Genomic DNA, 14,838 nt, shown 5'->3' with positions numbered 1-14,838 from the left:
TATTAATAGAAAAAGTCATTTTTGAATTTTATATTTTAAATTTTTGGTGAGAAATATTTGCAGTTCAACTCAAAGCTGGTCACCACAATCCAGAGTACTGGGACACATAATTTAGGTATTACTGACTAAAAGCTCAGCAATTTGTGGCTGACAGAGAAGGTATTAAAGAGCCGGAAAGGTAAGTGATTTTCCCAGATTGCAGCTAGTTAGCAGCAAAGCTACAGCTGGCACAAGAGGCTTTGCTTTTCTTTGTAATTGATGAAGCTGGTTTCCTTTTTAAACCTGGACCCTGGCCTGAGTTAGAAGTTCAACTCGACTGTTTCCTGGATGTGTGAACACAGGCAAACTATCTAAACTGCCTGAAGCTCAGTTCAAAGAGGAAGTTCAGCATCGAGATGAAAAAGTCTGGGGGCTTCCAGCACCACATCATGTCTGGATTCTTGATCTGCCACTTTCTTGCCATTGAGACCTGCAAACATTATTTACCCTTTTAAGGTTCAGTTTTCCACTCTCCAAAATGGGTGTGAGTACTCAGACTCATTGCATAGAGTTGGCAAGAGAATTAAATGCTTAATACACATAAAGCACTTAATTCCTGACATTTAAGAGTCAAATAATAAGTGTTAGCTGTTTTTTATGATGATACTGTTTTCTTATCAGTGAAAATGGGATAATAATGTAAAACTCACTGAATCACCAAGAAGAGGAATCCAGGAACTAAGAATAGTACCAGGCACACAGCAGACATATCATGAACACTAGACTGTTAGTAGCATTATAGATTTTGAAGTCTGCTAAACCTAACATTTCTTTTTTCAATAAACCTCTGGAATATTAGAAGCCAATTCCATTTATGCATTCTTCCATAATTGTAACACAAACAATGCATTGATATTTCTCGGTTAAAAAATATGTCTTGCTTTTATGGGTCTGTTTGAATCATGTTGAAAAGTTATCAGTGTTTATCCCAGGCAAAGTTAAAATCAGGTTACATACATATTCCATATAAAGCATAAACAAGTATATTTATATAGGACATAAATTTCTATAGCATGATTATTATTGTAATCTAGGAAATCCTAATCCAAATCCCAAAATTGTGTGAATGTTCCACGATTCCAAAGTAGGAGGCGGTGAGGGTAAGCTGGACCCTGAGGCCAGGCCTCTATACATCAAGTCTACACTGTCGTGCCATTGCAGTGCCCTGTAGAGGATGCTATGACTCACTCATTCATTCATTCATTCACTCTTTCTCTGTGTATTCAGTGAAATCTAGGTGCCAATTGTTTCAGTTTCAAAGACAACCTGAAAAATAAAACTAAAAAGTAAAAATGTCTTTTTACTCCCAAAGTGTTCAGGGAGTATTGGAATGAGAGGTACAGGAAGAACTGGTCTAATGAAGTATGCATGAGGAGGGGATGATTGGAGAAAGTCACAGAGGAGGTGACATTTGACCTGCATCTTGGTGATGTGTAGGGTTAATTCAGAAAGACATTTCCAACGGCAAGAGCATAGGCCCTAAAGAGAAGTGCCACTAAAGCTCTGGAGGAAAACAAGAGATAGCAGGTGAGTCTGGAAATGTGATGCATTAAGGCAGCAGTCCCCAAACCTGGGACACAGACAGGTACTGGCCTGTGGCCTGTTAGGAACTGGGCTGCATAGTAGGAGGTGAGTGACAGGTGAGCCAGTGAAGCTTCATGTGTATTTACAGCCACTCTCCATCACTCACATTACCACCTGAGCTCTACATCCTGTCAGGTCAGTGGTGGCATTCGATTCTCGAGCATGAACCCTGTTGTGAACTGTACATGGGAGGGATCTAGGTTGCCCATTCCTTATGAGAATCTAATACCTGATGATCTGTCACTGTCTCCCATCACCCCCAGATGGGACCATCTAGTTCCAGAAAAACAAGCTCAGGGCTATCACTGACTCTACATTATGGTGAATCGTATATTACAATGTAATAATAATAGAAATAAAGTGTACAATAAATGTAATGCTCTTGAATCATCCCAAAACCATCCCCCATACCTTCGGTTCATGGAAAAATTGTCTTCCATGAAACGAGTCCCTGGTGCCAAAAAGGAGGGGGACTACTGCTTTAAGGTGTAAAGTCCTTGAATGGCACACAAAAGAATTCGAACTTTCTCTTACAAACAGTGGATGATGATATGACCCACTTGCACAGACAGGAGCGGCAGGTGGAAGGTAAGATCAGAACAGCAAGACACGTTAGATGGATATGTTTAATAATTCACGTAAGCAATAGAGACAGCTCAACCTGGGGCAGAGATAAGAGAATTTGAGAGGTAGAACCATCAAGACGTTCTGACAGGTGCTCAAAGTGAGAACGAAGTCTGGAATCTAGAAGAATCTGTTTTGTTCTTGGGTGTTGGGCAAAGTGGGGTCCATTCAGGAAGACCAGAGGGAAAAGAAGGATCTAGTGAGCTCCATGTAAGATGGTTTTGTGACAGCTTGGGAAGCCATCCAATCAGAAGTTTAGACAATAGACATCTAGAGCCCAGTGCAGGAATTAGATGTAGAGACATAGATTTGAGAGACATTTGCATAAAGGAAAGAGTTGATAACAAGCTAAGCTATGTCTGATTTGTATATATACTCTGTTAGGAAATAAAGGAATTAGAAAGTAAAACATCTTATCTAACAGTTATCAAGTACTAAACTGTAAACAAAGCACTCCATAAGCATTTTAACTAACTTTATCCTGACTTTCCTCATTAGGAAACTGGCACTTCCTATGTTAAAGGTCTAGCTCAGGCAACCTGCTAGTGAGGGAGCCATCCGTGAGTGAGGTACAGGCCTATTTGATTCCAGATTCTGCCTTCAAACCAAACTGTGTCCCTGCGGAGTTCCCCACTAAGTTAAAATTCATTCTTAGGCTTCTGAGTGGATCACTGTTGAATCTTAAGCTGCACCATCCATAGACACGTTCACCGAGGCCATCAATGAGCGTGTAAGCAAAAGTTCCTCTTAGTGTGCACTGACTTTACACTGGAGCATTACATAAGTCTGCATTTTGCTGGAATAATCTCATTTAATCCCTAATAGCAACCCTCTGATGCTGATTTCAGGACTGTGCCCTCTTTTCAGGTGATGCACCTGCTGTGTGGGGAGGGGAAGAAACCTCCCCAAGGTGACATTGGTAGTAAGTGGGAAAGCAAAAACGAAGACTAATTGGGCATGGCTCATGCCTGGAATCCCACTACTTTTGAGAGGCTGAGGAGAGAGGATCACTTAAACCCAGAAGTTCAAAACCAGCCTGGGCAACATCGTGAAACCTCATCTCTACAAAAAAATTAAAACATTAGCCAAGTGTGATGGTGCATGCCTGTAGTCCCAGCTACTCAGGAGACTGGAGTGGAAGGATCACTTGCTCTTAGGAGGCCGAGGCTGCAATGAGCCATGATTGCGCCACTGTACTCCAACCTGGGTAACAAAGCAAGGCCTTATCTCAAGCAAAACAAAAAAAAAAAAACAGACTGTTTGCCCTGTATCTCTTGTTGCAGACTCCATATTTAACCATACAAATATTTTCCCATTTGCAGTGGACTTACTTCAGTCTCAGAAGGGGAGAGGTGCCTTTTTTTTTTTTTTTGAGACAGAGTTTCATTCTTGTTGCCCAGGCTGGAGTGCAATGGCGTGATCTTTGCTCACCGCAACCTCCACCTCTCAGGTTCAAGCGATTCTCCTGCCTCAGCCTCCTGAGTAGCTGGGATTACAGGCATGTGCCACCACGCCTGACTAATTTTGCATTTTTAGCAGAGAGGGAGTTTCTCCATGTTGGTAAGGCTGGTCTCGAACTCCCGACCTCCTGTGATCTGCCCGCCTCGGCCTCCCAAAGTGCTGGGATTACAGGCCTGAGCCACTGCACTCAGTGGAGAGGTGCCTATTTTTTGTCCTGCTTCTGTTGTGGGGTAGGCCCAGGCCAGGGACCTTCTATTTGCCAGTTCATTCACAATGTAATGATCTGCCTGCCTGCTTGATTCTCGTTTTATTATTTAGGGGTTTCATTTCAGATTGCTGAAGAGTGTTGCTAAAATGTTACTGCTTTGTGCTAGGGAAAATGGCGCAGGGTTTTTCAATGCTCTTCATGCAATTCTAATGGAGGCACACTGGCCCGTCCACTCTGACACCGACTCTGCAGGTCTGCCCGACTGACTAATGGGATTTTCTGCAGTATATCGCACAGCTTCAAAAAGTCGTGCTGCTGAGCAATTTATGAAGAATGGAAGTTTTTTTGTTTTGTTTAGTTTATAATACTCTCTAGCCGTATATTTTTTTTTCAGGATTTCTCTTTGGATTAGCATTTTGACTTATTATTATTTCAATAATCATGCTGAATCAGCCTTGCGACGATTCCCCAAAGTTTTCTTAAAGTGTCCCTTGAAAAATCTCTATGACATTGGCATCTAGTTTTAAAAGTCAAACTTGATAAGAGACTTCATAGATTCCTTGCTACCTTTAATGTGTCCTGAAGCTTTGCAGAATGAGACCAAGGTGGTGAGACAGTGGCAGGTAGCGGGACCTGAAAATGGGATTCTAAGGACCGCTTGAAGTCAGCTGGGGATTCATGACTACTGTATTTGGTGCCTTTGTTAATCCCCTTTCTGCTTTCATTTCTGCTTAGTCACAGCTGTCAGAGACACTGCAGGACTTGAATGCCTCAGTCAAAGCAAGCGGAGCTTTGTCTAGCATGTGCTCTCTGCCAGGCCTGGTTTCAGAGGCAGGTGTGGCATGCTGAGAAAGGACAAGCTCGCATCAGCCCTGAATCCTGAGAAACAAAATTTCTGCTGCTGGCAAGCAGAGTGACCTTGCACATGTCACTCAGTTCTTTGAGCCATAGTCTTTTGATCTATGAAATGGAAATAAGAATTTCTATTATTATTGTTTGATCTAATCAGAAAGAATTCCAATATTTGGTGATAAAAGCAAGGAACAGAGAAATGTCCAGAGCATTCTCCAACTTATAAGTGTGTCAGTGCATGTTTTCAAGACATACACACATATAGCAAGCGTGTATACATATACAAAAGCATAGATGGGTAGTATTCCAGAAGAATCTACAAGAAAAAAATTATTAGGCTGGGGGGAATGGGACACTTCATGTTGTGTTTACTTTGATGATATTGATGGGGTTTTGTTTGTTTCACCGTATTTATATTCTATTTTGAAAATCAAAATAAGAGTATCGGCCTTTCATGGTACTTGCTGAAGATCAAAAGAGATAAAGTACAATAGGACTATCTAGATGCTTCATTAAGCAGTGGCTTCCTTCCTGCTCCACAGATCTAACTGGTCTGATGTGCTCCGTGCTGCATACAAGCCCTCCTAGACTTTCTACAGCCATACTGGCTTCTCTGTATTAAACCTTAATATAATAGGAAAGTTGTAGAAATGTGAATATATGGGTTACCCTGAATGCCTGGTGAGCACAGACAGGGCAGTTGGTTGAGTTTTCTGGTTCCAAAATGGACAAGTCTTCTGATTTCAAACGTTGCTGAATGTCTTAAGTTCAAATCAGAAAGAATTTGACAAGCTTTTAATCCAAGGCCAGACTTCAGAGCTGAGAAATGCAAGCCATGGAGGGTAAAGTTCTACAGAGGGTCTCTTCCCTGTACTCTGTGGTGTGATGTCCAGCCCTACCTTCAGACCTGAGCCATTCATTCCTCACACTACTGGGAATGTTGGTGGTCCACAGCAATTGGCTAAGTATGGAGACTGCCCTGTCTGGAGAGAGCTGCTCCCGCAAGGTTACACTTCCCTGCTAGGGTGATAGGGTTTGGCTCTGTGTCCCAACCCACATCTGATCTCGAACTGTAATCCCCATGTGTCAAGGGAAGAACCTGTAATCCCCACATGTCGAGGGAGGAGGTGATTGGATCATTGGGGCAGTTTCCCCCTCTGCTGTTCTCATGATAGTGAGTTCTCATGAGATCTTATGGTTTTAGAAGTGTTTGGAAGTTCCTTCTTTGCATTTCTCTCTCCTCATGCCATGTAATATGTGCCTGCTTCCCCTTCCTTCATGACTGTAAGTTTCCTGAGGCCTCCCCAGCTATGGAGACCTGTGAGTCAATTAAACGCCTTTCCTTTATAAATTACCCAGTCTCACGTATTTCTTTATAGCACTGTGAAAACGAACTAATACATAGGGTAACCCACACCAAGTACTGACCAGTGAATGGGTACAGAGACCTGGTCCTTGCCCCAAGGCCGGGTAACTCTGCAGGCCCAGCACTCCCCATGGCATCAGCTGAGGTCTCCGTTGTACCTGCAGGACAATGCAATGCAGTTCCTCCACCCATCCTGCTTTACAGCTGCACAGATATTGCTCCTGAGAGCACAACCCAGTGACCCTCTCCTGGTTTCTCATAGTCTCTCACCTAAGACAGTCTCAGAGGTATATGGCAGCAGGCCTGAGACTTCTATCCAAGTTTTCAAATTGGTAGCACCCTGCATCACACATGACAATCATTGTGGTACGGTGGTTAGAGAGGGTATAATAGTGCCCGTCATTATCTGCCTATACAACACCCTTGGGAGTGCAGATGATGTACAGACGTGTGTCGACTCCAGGAGACTTGCCCACCCACATTGGATCAACTCAGCCCTCTTGGATGGCAGCTAGGAGAAAGGAGACCAAGCAAGGCAGAAGGATCTCCAGTCATTGGCTGTGCAGACTCACTCGCAAAAGCCAAGGGTGAAATGCCACCAATTCCTCACCTGGCGTTTCTTCCAGCAGGCAGACAAGGTGGCCTGGGAACATGAAGAGCCACGGCCTCCTCCCGTCACGGCCATGTGAACAGTAGATGGGCACGAGCATACTACTCAAGGACTCCCATCTCTGTGCCCAGGCCTTTTCCCACACGATTCCTTTCTCTGCTCTAAGAACAAATCTCTTTGAAATTCACCTCAGGACATCCTTCTCTGTTGAGTTGGCAAGAAAAAAACTGTCCTGTTCCTTCCTTTTCATCATGCCTAGGTCTCCAAGTGCACTGTAGACTTAGGTGTCTTTTCCTCATTGGACAAATTACTTTGTAATTGTACCAGTTTAATCCATTCTATTTCTACAAACAAAATATAATGTACAGTGTTCTGACACTGCATGCTCACATGCAGAGCTGTTTACAGGTGTGCTTTCAGCATTGGTTACTTAACCTCACAACTTCTTTCTACATTACGATGACACTTTCTTTTCCTCCTTTTCAGCACGACCTACTGCTCACCCACCTGCTACAAGGGTCTTTCTAAATTTCTTCTCTCTGCAAAGGAGCCCACAGCCACCTGTCCCATGGCCTCTATAGTGCACCCTGCAGTAGTGGGGAAAGAAGGTTTGTGTATTAGTCCATTCTCAGGCTGCTAATAAAGACATACCCAAGGCTGGGTAATTTATAAAGGAAAGAGGTTTAATGGACTCACAGTTCCACATGGCTAGGGAGCCTTCACAATCATGGTAGAAGGTGAAGGATGAGCAAAGTCATGTCTTACATGGTGGCAGGCAAGAGAGCATGTGCAGGGGAACTGCCCTTTATAAAACCATCAGATCTCATAAGACTTATTCACTATCATGAGAACAGCATGGAAAAACCCCGCCCCCGTGATTCAATTACCTCCCACTGGGTCCCTCCCATGACATGTGGAGATTATTACAATTCAAGGTGAGACTTGGGTGGGAACACAGAGCCAAACCATATCAGCTTGTAAGTGGGGCCACTCGATTGTCTCAAACCTGTGAGGCCAATGTCCTCATCACCTTCATGATCATTCGTTATTATTGTTGCTATTTTATTATTTTAATTTGAATATAAGACAAAGGTGTGGCAGATTTCAGTGTTGTCTTGCCTGGAGGGATAAAGAAGCAATTCCAGCTCAGGACTCTCTTTTTCCTGGAATCTTCAACCATGTTCCAGTTTTACTCAGGATGGGGTCTGCTTCCTTCCCTGAACCTCCAAACATTTTGTGAATGTTGGTGCGGGTGGATGGAGCATCACAGCCCTGTGCTGCCTGGGCCAGGTGCAATATTCCTCAGCCTCTGTTTCTGTTTCACCCCTTAGGGAAGCTTCTACATCACCTCTGAGAACTGCATGCAGCACGCACACAAGTGGCACCGAGACCTGTGCCTGTTGCTCCTCCACGCTTACCGGGGTCTCCGTCTCCACTTCCTGGTGATCATGCGGGACATCCCAGAGCTGCCACACACGGAGCTGGGTAAGGGCCCAGGACAGGGGCAAGCCCATCCCAGCAGCTCATGTGCCTCCTCCACACAAGGGATGGGGAAAAGCTGGCATGCTTTTGTAAATGTCACAGGAATAACCCTGGTCCAGGTAGGTTTGGGCTGTGATTTTTATTATTCTACCAGGAGAGGATCTGGGAAATGCAAATGCAGTAAGAGAAGACACATGTTCCTCAAGGCACATTCATTCACTCATGCATTCATCTGCCAGACATCTATTGAGTACCTATTACACACCTGCCACTCCACTGCATAATTTTAGGTTGCTTTCTAGAGGAAAATGCTGGTTTATAGCCTTTTCTTAATTAAGCTGTAATTATGGAATTGTAACTTACAAGAGTGTAAAACAATCCTCATAAAAACTATATATATACACACACACACACACACACACACACACACACACACACACACATATGCATACATATATGCTTGAGCTGGATGATTATAGAAACTTCTTAGTATCCATTACATTTGGTTATCTGGGGATCAGTTGATTTTTGCACATGGATTTTCCAAAGATGAGACATCATGGAAATCAGTGGGCTTGAATCTCTGTTGATTGACAGACGATGGACCTGAAGCTCAGAGAGGTAAAAGCGTTGCTCAGCATCACACAGTAATGTGTGGCAGAACCATGACAGCTCAGGGATCCTGTGCTGATGCCTTGGGGCAGGGTCCTTTGTGTCATGTCCCACTCAGTAAAAATAGGTGATATGTTCTGGCTCTGCTCAAAGTTCTCTAATAAGGCCTCATTGACTCTAGAACAGAGGCGAAGTCCCCAGCTTGCTTTTCAACGATAACACCCATTTCAACATTAGAACCCTGCTGGGTACATTGACTTCCCTATATGTACCCCTAGACCTCAACTGCTGAGATAACTGTGGTTTTGACTGGGTCAATGGCCTTGTTCATTGTTCATTGCTGCACTGAAATCATCACGTAAAAAATTTATTTGCATGTTTTGCTTCCCAAATAGACTGAGGTCTTTAAGAGCTGATTCCCCTCAGATCCCTGCCACACTCTCTCCGGTATGTAGAGTAAAGGAGTAGGTACAGGGTTATAGTTGTTGAATTGAATCTGGAGCCTTCTTACTATAAGCTTTGTCAGCTCTCACATCATATACAAATCCTGTACTCAGGCACTACTCTTTGAATCATGCAATCACTGAATTTTTTCAAGTTCAAATCTTATGCATGCAGGAATGACCTGCACAGAATCAGAGTGACTTTATATAGCTCAAATGAAAAATGGAGATTTTTCAGTAGCAGTTGGATTCCTGATACAACTTTTTATATTATATTTTATCCAAAGGAGCTGAATTTATTTGTTCATTCACACCCTCATCATATTTTACTGGACATGTACTATGTGTCAGATATTGTGCTAGACACTGAGGATACATAGCCGTGACTAATGTATCAATAGTTCATTTTGCCTTGCGGGGTTCAGGGACCTGAGGTCAGCGGTGAAGTAGAGAGGTGTCTACTAATTAGGTCATCAGCAAGGACCGTAAGCTGCTAAGGGATTGTTTCCACTCAGCTAGGCAAGCATGCTTTAATTAAAATCCATGCCAGAGCCGTGTGCAAATGACTGACCACAGCATCATGGAACCAGAGGAAAGTTCAAACCCAGTCACAACTGTGACCATTAAAACAAATAGCCAGAGGCCACCTGGTTTCTGCTGATAAGATGGCCACATTCTTCAGTATCAGAGCTGGTGGAGCTGAGCAGGAGGTTCTCAGGGCTTCTGATATTTTATCTGTAAGATAGAGATTCAAATCCATCTTCCATATATGATGCACAGATGTATACCTGTGTGTGTGTGTGTTTGTGTGTGTGTGTGTGTGTGTGTGTACCTGCAAAAACAGAAATAAACGTGGAATCTCTCTGGGCCACACAAAGTGCTGTATGAATTTGGGATGTACTGCTTCTCATAACCGTGTGCATGAGGTGATATTGGCTTTTATCTAGTGCTCAGTCCAGTCCATGGCTCCAATCAGGTTCATTCTCCTGATAAGCACAGTCCCTTTAGGAAGTTAGAATAGGTAGAAGGTCCTCAGCAATGTGTTTGTCTCTGTGACGTTAATGCCAATGTGAAACTTTTGCTTTTTCATTTAATTAGCAACTGCTGCATTTCAGTGTGGGTTCATTTAATCACACAGTTTATTTTTTCTTTCTAGAGGCCCTTGCTGTTGAAGAAACACTTTCTCAGCTGTGCTCAGAGCTACAGGTAATTGGAGAACTGGCGCTGGGGTCTGAATGAATGGCAGTAGTTTTGCAAGGCAAATGCAGTTGCTTGCTTGCTGTAAAAAACAGAAGTGAAAAGACACCACTTGTAACTTCACTCTAGATACCAAGCTGGAGAAATATTCTTACATTCTGTTACCCTACATCACTGTGTTCTATAAGTATGTGCCTTGCTAGATATTTTGGAAAAACTAAACATGTTAACAGATTTTTGTTTCCCCGAAGCTTAGGCTACACATATGTATTTGTCCATTACCCATCCATTGAACAAACGTTTGTTGACTGGTTAACTCAGTGCTTCTCACTGTGGATGACAGAATCTTGTACCTGTGCACAGATGGCCTCAGACATGGCAGGGAGGCTAGAGTCAGTGATGATCATGAAAACAGTCACATGCATTTGCCAACAAAGCCTCATCAAGCGTGCATTAAGAGTAAAGGCTGAATAAATATTTGACAAATGCATGCTGCTGCTATTTACAATCTCTGGAACACTTTTACATCCCCCTTGTGTTAGATATCTGGGTGGGTACTCTTATTTCTCTATGAAGAAGAGGCAAATCAAGATTGGAAAGAAGTCTATACCAGGGTGACTAACACAGCTAATCAGTACTAGAAGCAGGACTCAAAGTCTCATCCCCCAAACTGACACCTCTGTCTGTTAAACCAGTGTTTCTCAACTTTGTCTGTACATTAGAATCATCCTTGGAACTTTAATGATGCATCTTTGCCTGAGCCTGGGCATACAAACTGGCTGAAACAGAGTATCTGGGATTGGAGTTCAGATACTGTGTTTTTATTCAAAGCTCCCCAGATGAATATTATGTGCAGCCAGGGTTGAGCACCCCTGCTTTAGGGCATGTTACAAAGTTAGTAAAATCCAGTCTCACAGTGAATGCAGAGGAGATCCCTGGAGAGGGCGGAATGCGGAGGCAGAGACAGAGGAGGGTGTTGGGAGCCTAGAGCTGGAGGGCCTTTGGGGAGGGGCTGTTGGACGGCAGCCTGGGAGAAGGGGTGGGACTTGGCTTGTAGCGATAACAGGGAAACACATGCCAAGCACTGATTATCAAAAATGCAGGGCCAGCAGACTGTAGGAGGGCAACACAGGAGTCCATTTAGAGAGTGTGTAAAGGCCACTGAGACGAGTCAAAGGCCTAATGTCCACACTTGGGGGCTCATATGCTCCGACTCTGCTGCAGCATTGACGGTGTGTGGATGAGCGGGCAGCTGGGTAGACAGGAGGCCCTGGGCTCTAGATGGCTACAGCTCTCATCCTTCCCCGAGTGAGCCTCAAGGCAGCCACTGTGTTAGGCAGGGGCCAGAAGCGTCAAAGCCATGCTGGCGTGGGTTTAAATCCAGGCTCTGAGCTTCTCCTTGGAGCAGCTGTGGGACCTGAGACAATGGGCTCACCCTCTGGGGCCTGGGATTCCTCATCTACATAGTAGGTTTGTTCTGAGGGGACCGCTAGAGAGCTCACGCAAGGACCCTCCTAAGTGCTCTGCTCATGGGGTCTGCTCTTCTCTGGTGAGATGGCCTCTCCTTCCAGGGCTGGCTCGGGCTGCCTCAGGCTCCATCCCCTGAGGGCCTGGCCGGAGCCACGTACCTGTGGAGGTGCAGCTCAGCATCCCAAGGGGAAACTGCTTTACTCTGTAAATTATCAGAAATTTAGTTTTAGCAATTGAAACAACAACAAGGAACACAGGAACAGGCAGCTTTCCAACTCGGCTTTTCCATTTCCCATCACGAGATCAGGCTGAAGAGCTGATTCGTGACTATTTGTCAATACGCCCACTCTCTTTCCTTCTGGGTGTGGCCTGCAGGTTCTCCGTGTTGTTTTCTGTGCCTGTTATGTTCAGGTTTCCAGGAGTCTCTCTTCCCTAGTCCGGGATCACCATAGCACCAGCATCACCGACTTATATTTAATCAGCAGGGATTCTCAGCCTGGCACAGTTCTAAGTGCTTGTCAGTATAATCCCCTTTAATCTTTCTATAGCCCCTGAGATTTCACCATTACCAAAGCATTTGTCCAAAGTCATCTGGTAAGTGGTGGGAGGAATCGGTGCTCACATGCAGCAGGCCTTCTGCCTCCAGAGCCCCAGCTGTGCGGTCGTGAGGGCAGGCAGGGACCACTGCCTGTTTTCTCCTTATACGTCACGTGGTGGTGGGTGGTGGCTAGTGGGTGGTAGTGATGGAGAATCCTGTATTGCAAAGATTATGCACGTCGGAGCCAGGGAGACATGGCTTTGAATTCTCTACCTACTCACTGTGTGACTTTAGGCAAGTTGCTTAATCTTTATGAACCTCGATGTTCTTATCTGTAAATGGGGATAAAAATGAATCTGTTTTCACCGATACAACCACCCAATGGGTTCATTTTACCCACTGCCTAGACAGAGCTCATTTAGCAAGACGGGGATAGCAATAGAGAAAGAGTAATTCATGCAGAGCCAGCTGTACAGAAGCCCTGAGTTTTATTGTTACTCAAATCAGTCTCCCCAGGCATTTGGGGATCTGAGTTTTTAAGAATAATTTGCTGAGTAGGGGCCAGTGAGTCAGGAGTGCTGATTGGTTGGGTTGGCGATGAGTCCAACTGTCCTCTTGCGCTGAGTCTGTTCCTGGGTGAGGGCCACAAGACCAGATGAGCGAGTTTATCAATCTGGGTGATACCAACTGATCCGTCAAGTGCAGGGTCTGCAAATATCTCGAGCACTGATCTTAGGTTTTACAATAGTGATATTATTCCACAGAAGCAATTTGAGGAGGGTCAGAATCTTGTAGCCTCCAGCTGCATGACTCCTAAGCCATCATTTCGAAGATTTTGGCTAATTTGATAGTCTTACAAAGGCAGTCTAGTTCACCAGGCAAGAAGGGGGTTTGTGTTGGGAAAGCGCTGCTATCTTTGTTTCAAACTGTAAAGCAAGTTCCTCCTAAAGGTAGTATGGCCTATGCCCAGGAATGAACAAGGACAGCTTGGAGGTTAGAATCAAGAAGGAAGTGGTTAGTTCAGGTCTCTTTCACCATCTCAGTTATAATTTTGCAATGGTGGTTTCATTGATGCCTTTTTCTCTTAGCCAGTAAGCTGGCACATTGGCTAGTTGCCTGGCTACATTGTGTGGATTTTCTCATGCAATTGATAAAACAATTCTATAAGATAAGCCATCACATTCTGTTCAGTGGACGAAGAAACAGGGCTTGACTCACACCCTGACTAAAGCCACAGTGCCGGCAAGCAGAACAGGGTGAGGCTGCTGGTCCCTGTGACGCTGAGCCCTCCCCAGTGTGATGCAAGCCCAGGAGGCAGCATCGGTGCAGGGAATAGAGATGAAGTCCATGAGGTCTGGCCCTGTGCAGTAAATGCAGAAAATGCAAACCATCATGTCTGGTGCAAGTATTTATCAAATGATGGGGGCTTTGGCTTGTCATTTTTTGTGGTCATAAAGTAGAGTTTGGTGATACTCATGCCTTTGGCAGGGAATATGGTTAAATGTCCAGGTTCCTTTTGTCTTCGTGGCAAAAAGGATCAACGTTTTCCTGGGAACGACTGCCATTCATCTTTTGGCCCATGAGAATTTTTATTAATTTCACAAACATTTCCCAAGCCCCCAGTGCTTCCCAGATCCGGTGTTCTTCAGGTCTCAACCATGGGGACTCAGTGGTGACCCCTTGCTCATGCAGCACATAGCCTAGGGAGGTGATTTGTTCACTCTGGAACTTCTACTGCTTAGAAGGGCTCCTGGCACCTAGAAGCTCCGAATAAATGCTAGAATGAATGGATGGACAGTAGAAAAGGTGAGGAAATGACTGACCCTGGAGCCACTAATGTCATACCCTTGAGGCTATTGGCCCATCTACAAAAGGAGCTTGGACTCAATATGTTCATTTACTGATCCAATGGACCAGTGTGTGGTATTGTCCTGCGTTATGTGTCACCTCAAAAGTAGTGGGTGAAGGCTTCTGCCCAGACTGCAGGGCACAGTCCTGAATCAGCCAGCTGGCTGTCCAGCATTGGGCAGGCCATAGGAGAATGAAGTGGGGTCACAGGTGCACAGTGCTCAGAACAGAGCTTGGGGCAAAATGCCGCCACCAGTGTCACTGCTGTCCTTGACATTGTTCTCCTATTCCATGGGCCTGGTGTTGATGAAGAGAGTCAAACTCCATAAAATATTAGAGGAGATTTATTCTGAGCCAAATATGAGTGACCATGGCTCATGACACAGCCCCAGAAGATCCTGAGAACACGTGCCCAAGGTGGTCAGGCTATAGCTTGGTTTTTTGCAGTTTAGGGAGACATAAGACATCAGTCAGTACATGTAAGATCTGCATTGGTTTGGTCCA

The 14,838-nt window shown here is 44.6% G+C and overlaps 1 protein-coding gene across 18 annotated transcripts in view; it reads left to right on the top strand.

The window, feature by feature from the left end:
• The window catches only part of FAM135B (family with sequence similarity 135 member B), a 367,708-nt gene that overhangs the window by 291,986 nt on the left and 60,884 nt on the right, over window positions 1–14,838 (top strand). For 16 of the 18 annotated variants that reach the window (NM_001362965.2, NM_015912.4, XM_011517062.2 and 13 more), the window contains 2 exons: window positions 8,076–8,229; window positions 10,438–10,487. In NM_001362965.2, the coding sequence (NP_001349894.1) occupies window positions 8,076–8,229; window positions 10,438–10,487 (204 nt within the window). The other 2 variants (XM_011517073.3, XM_011517074.2) reach the window with 2 other exon arrangements.

Source organism: Homo sapiens, chromosome 8, assembly GCF_000001405.40.
Source record: "Homo sapiens chromosome 8, GRCh38.p14 Primary Assembly".
Taxonomy (NCBI): Eukaryota; Metazoa; Chordata; class Mammalia; order Primates; family Hominidae; genus Homo; species Homo sapiens.
Note: the sequence above shows the minus strand (reverse complement) of the source record. Positions and strands in the feature narration are given on the sequence as shown.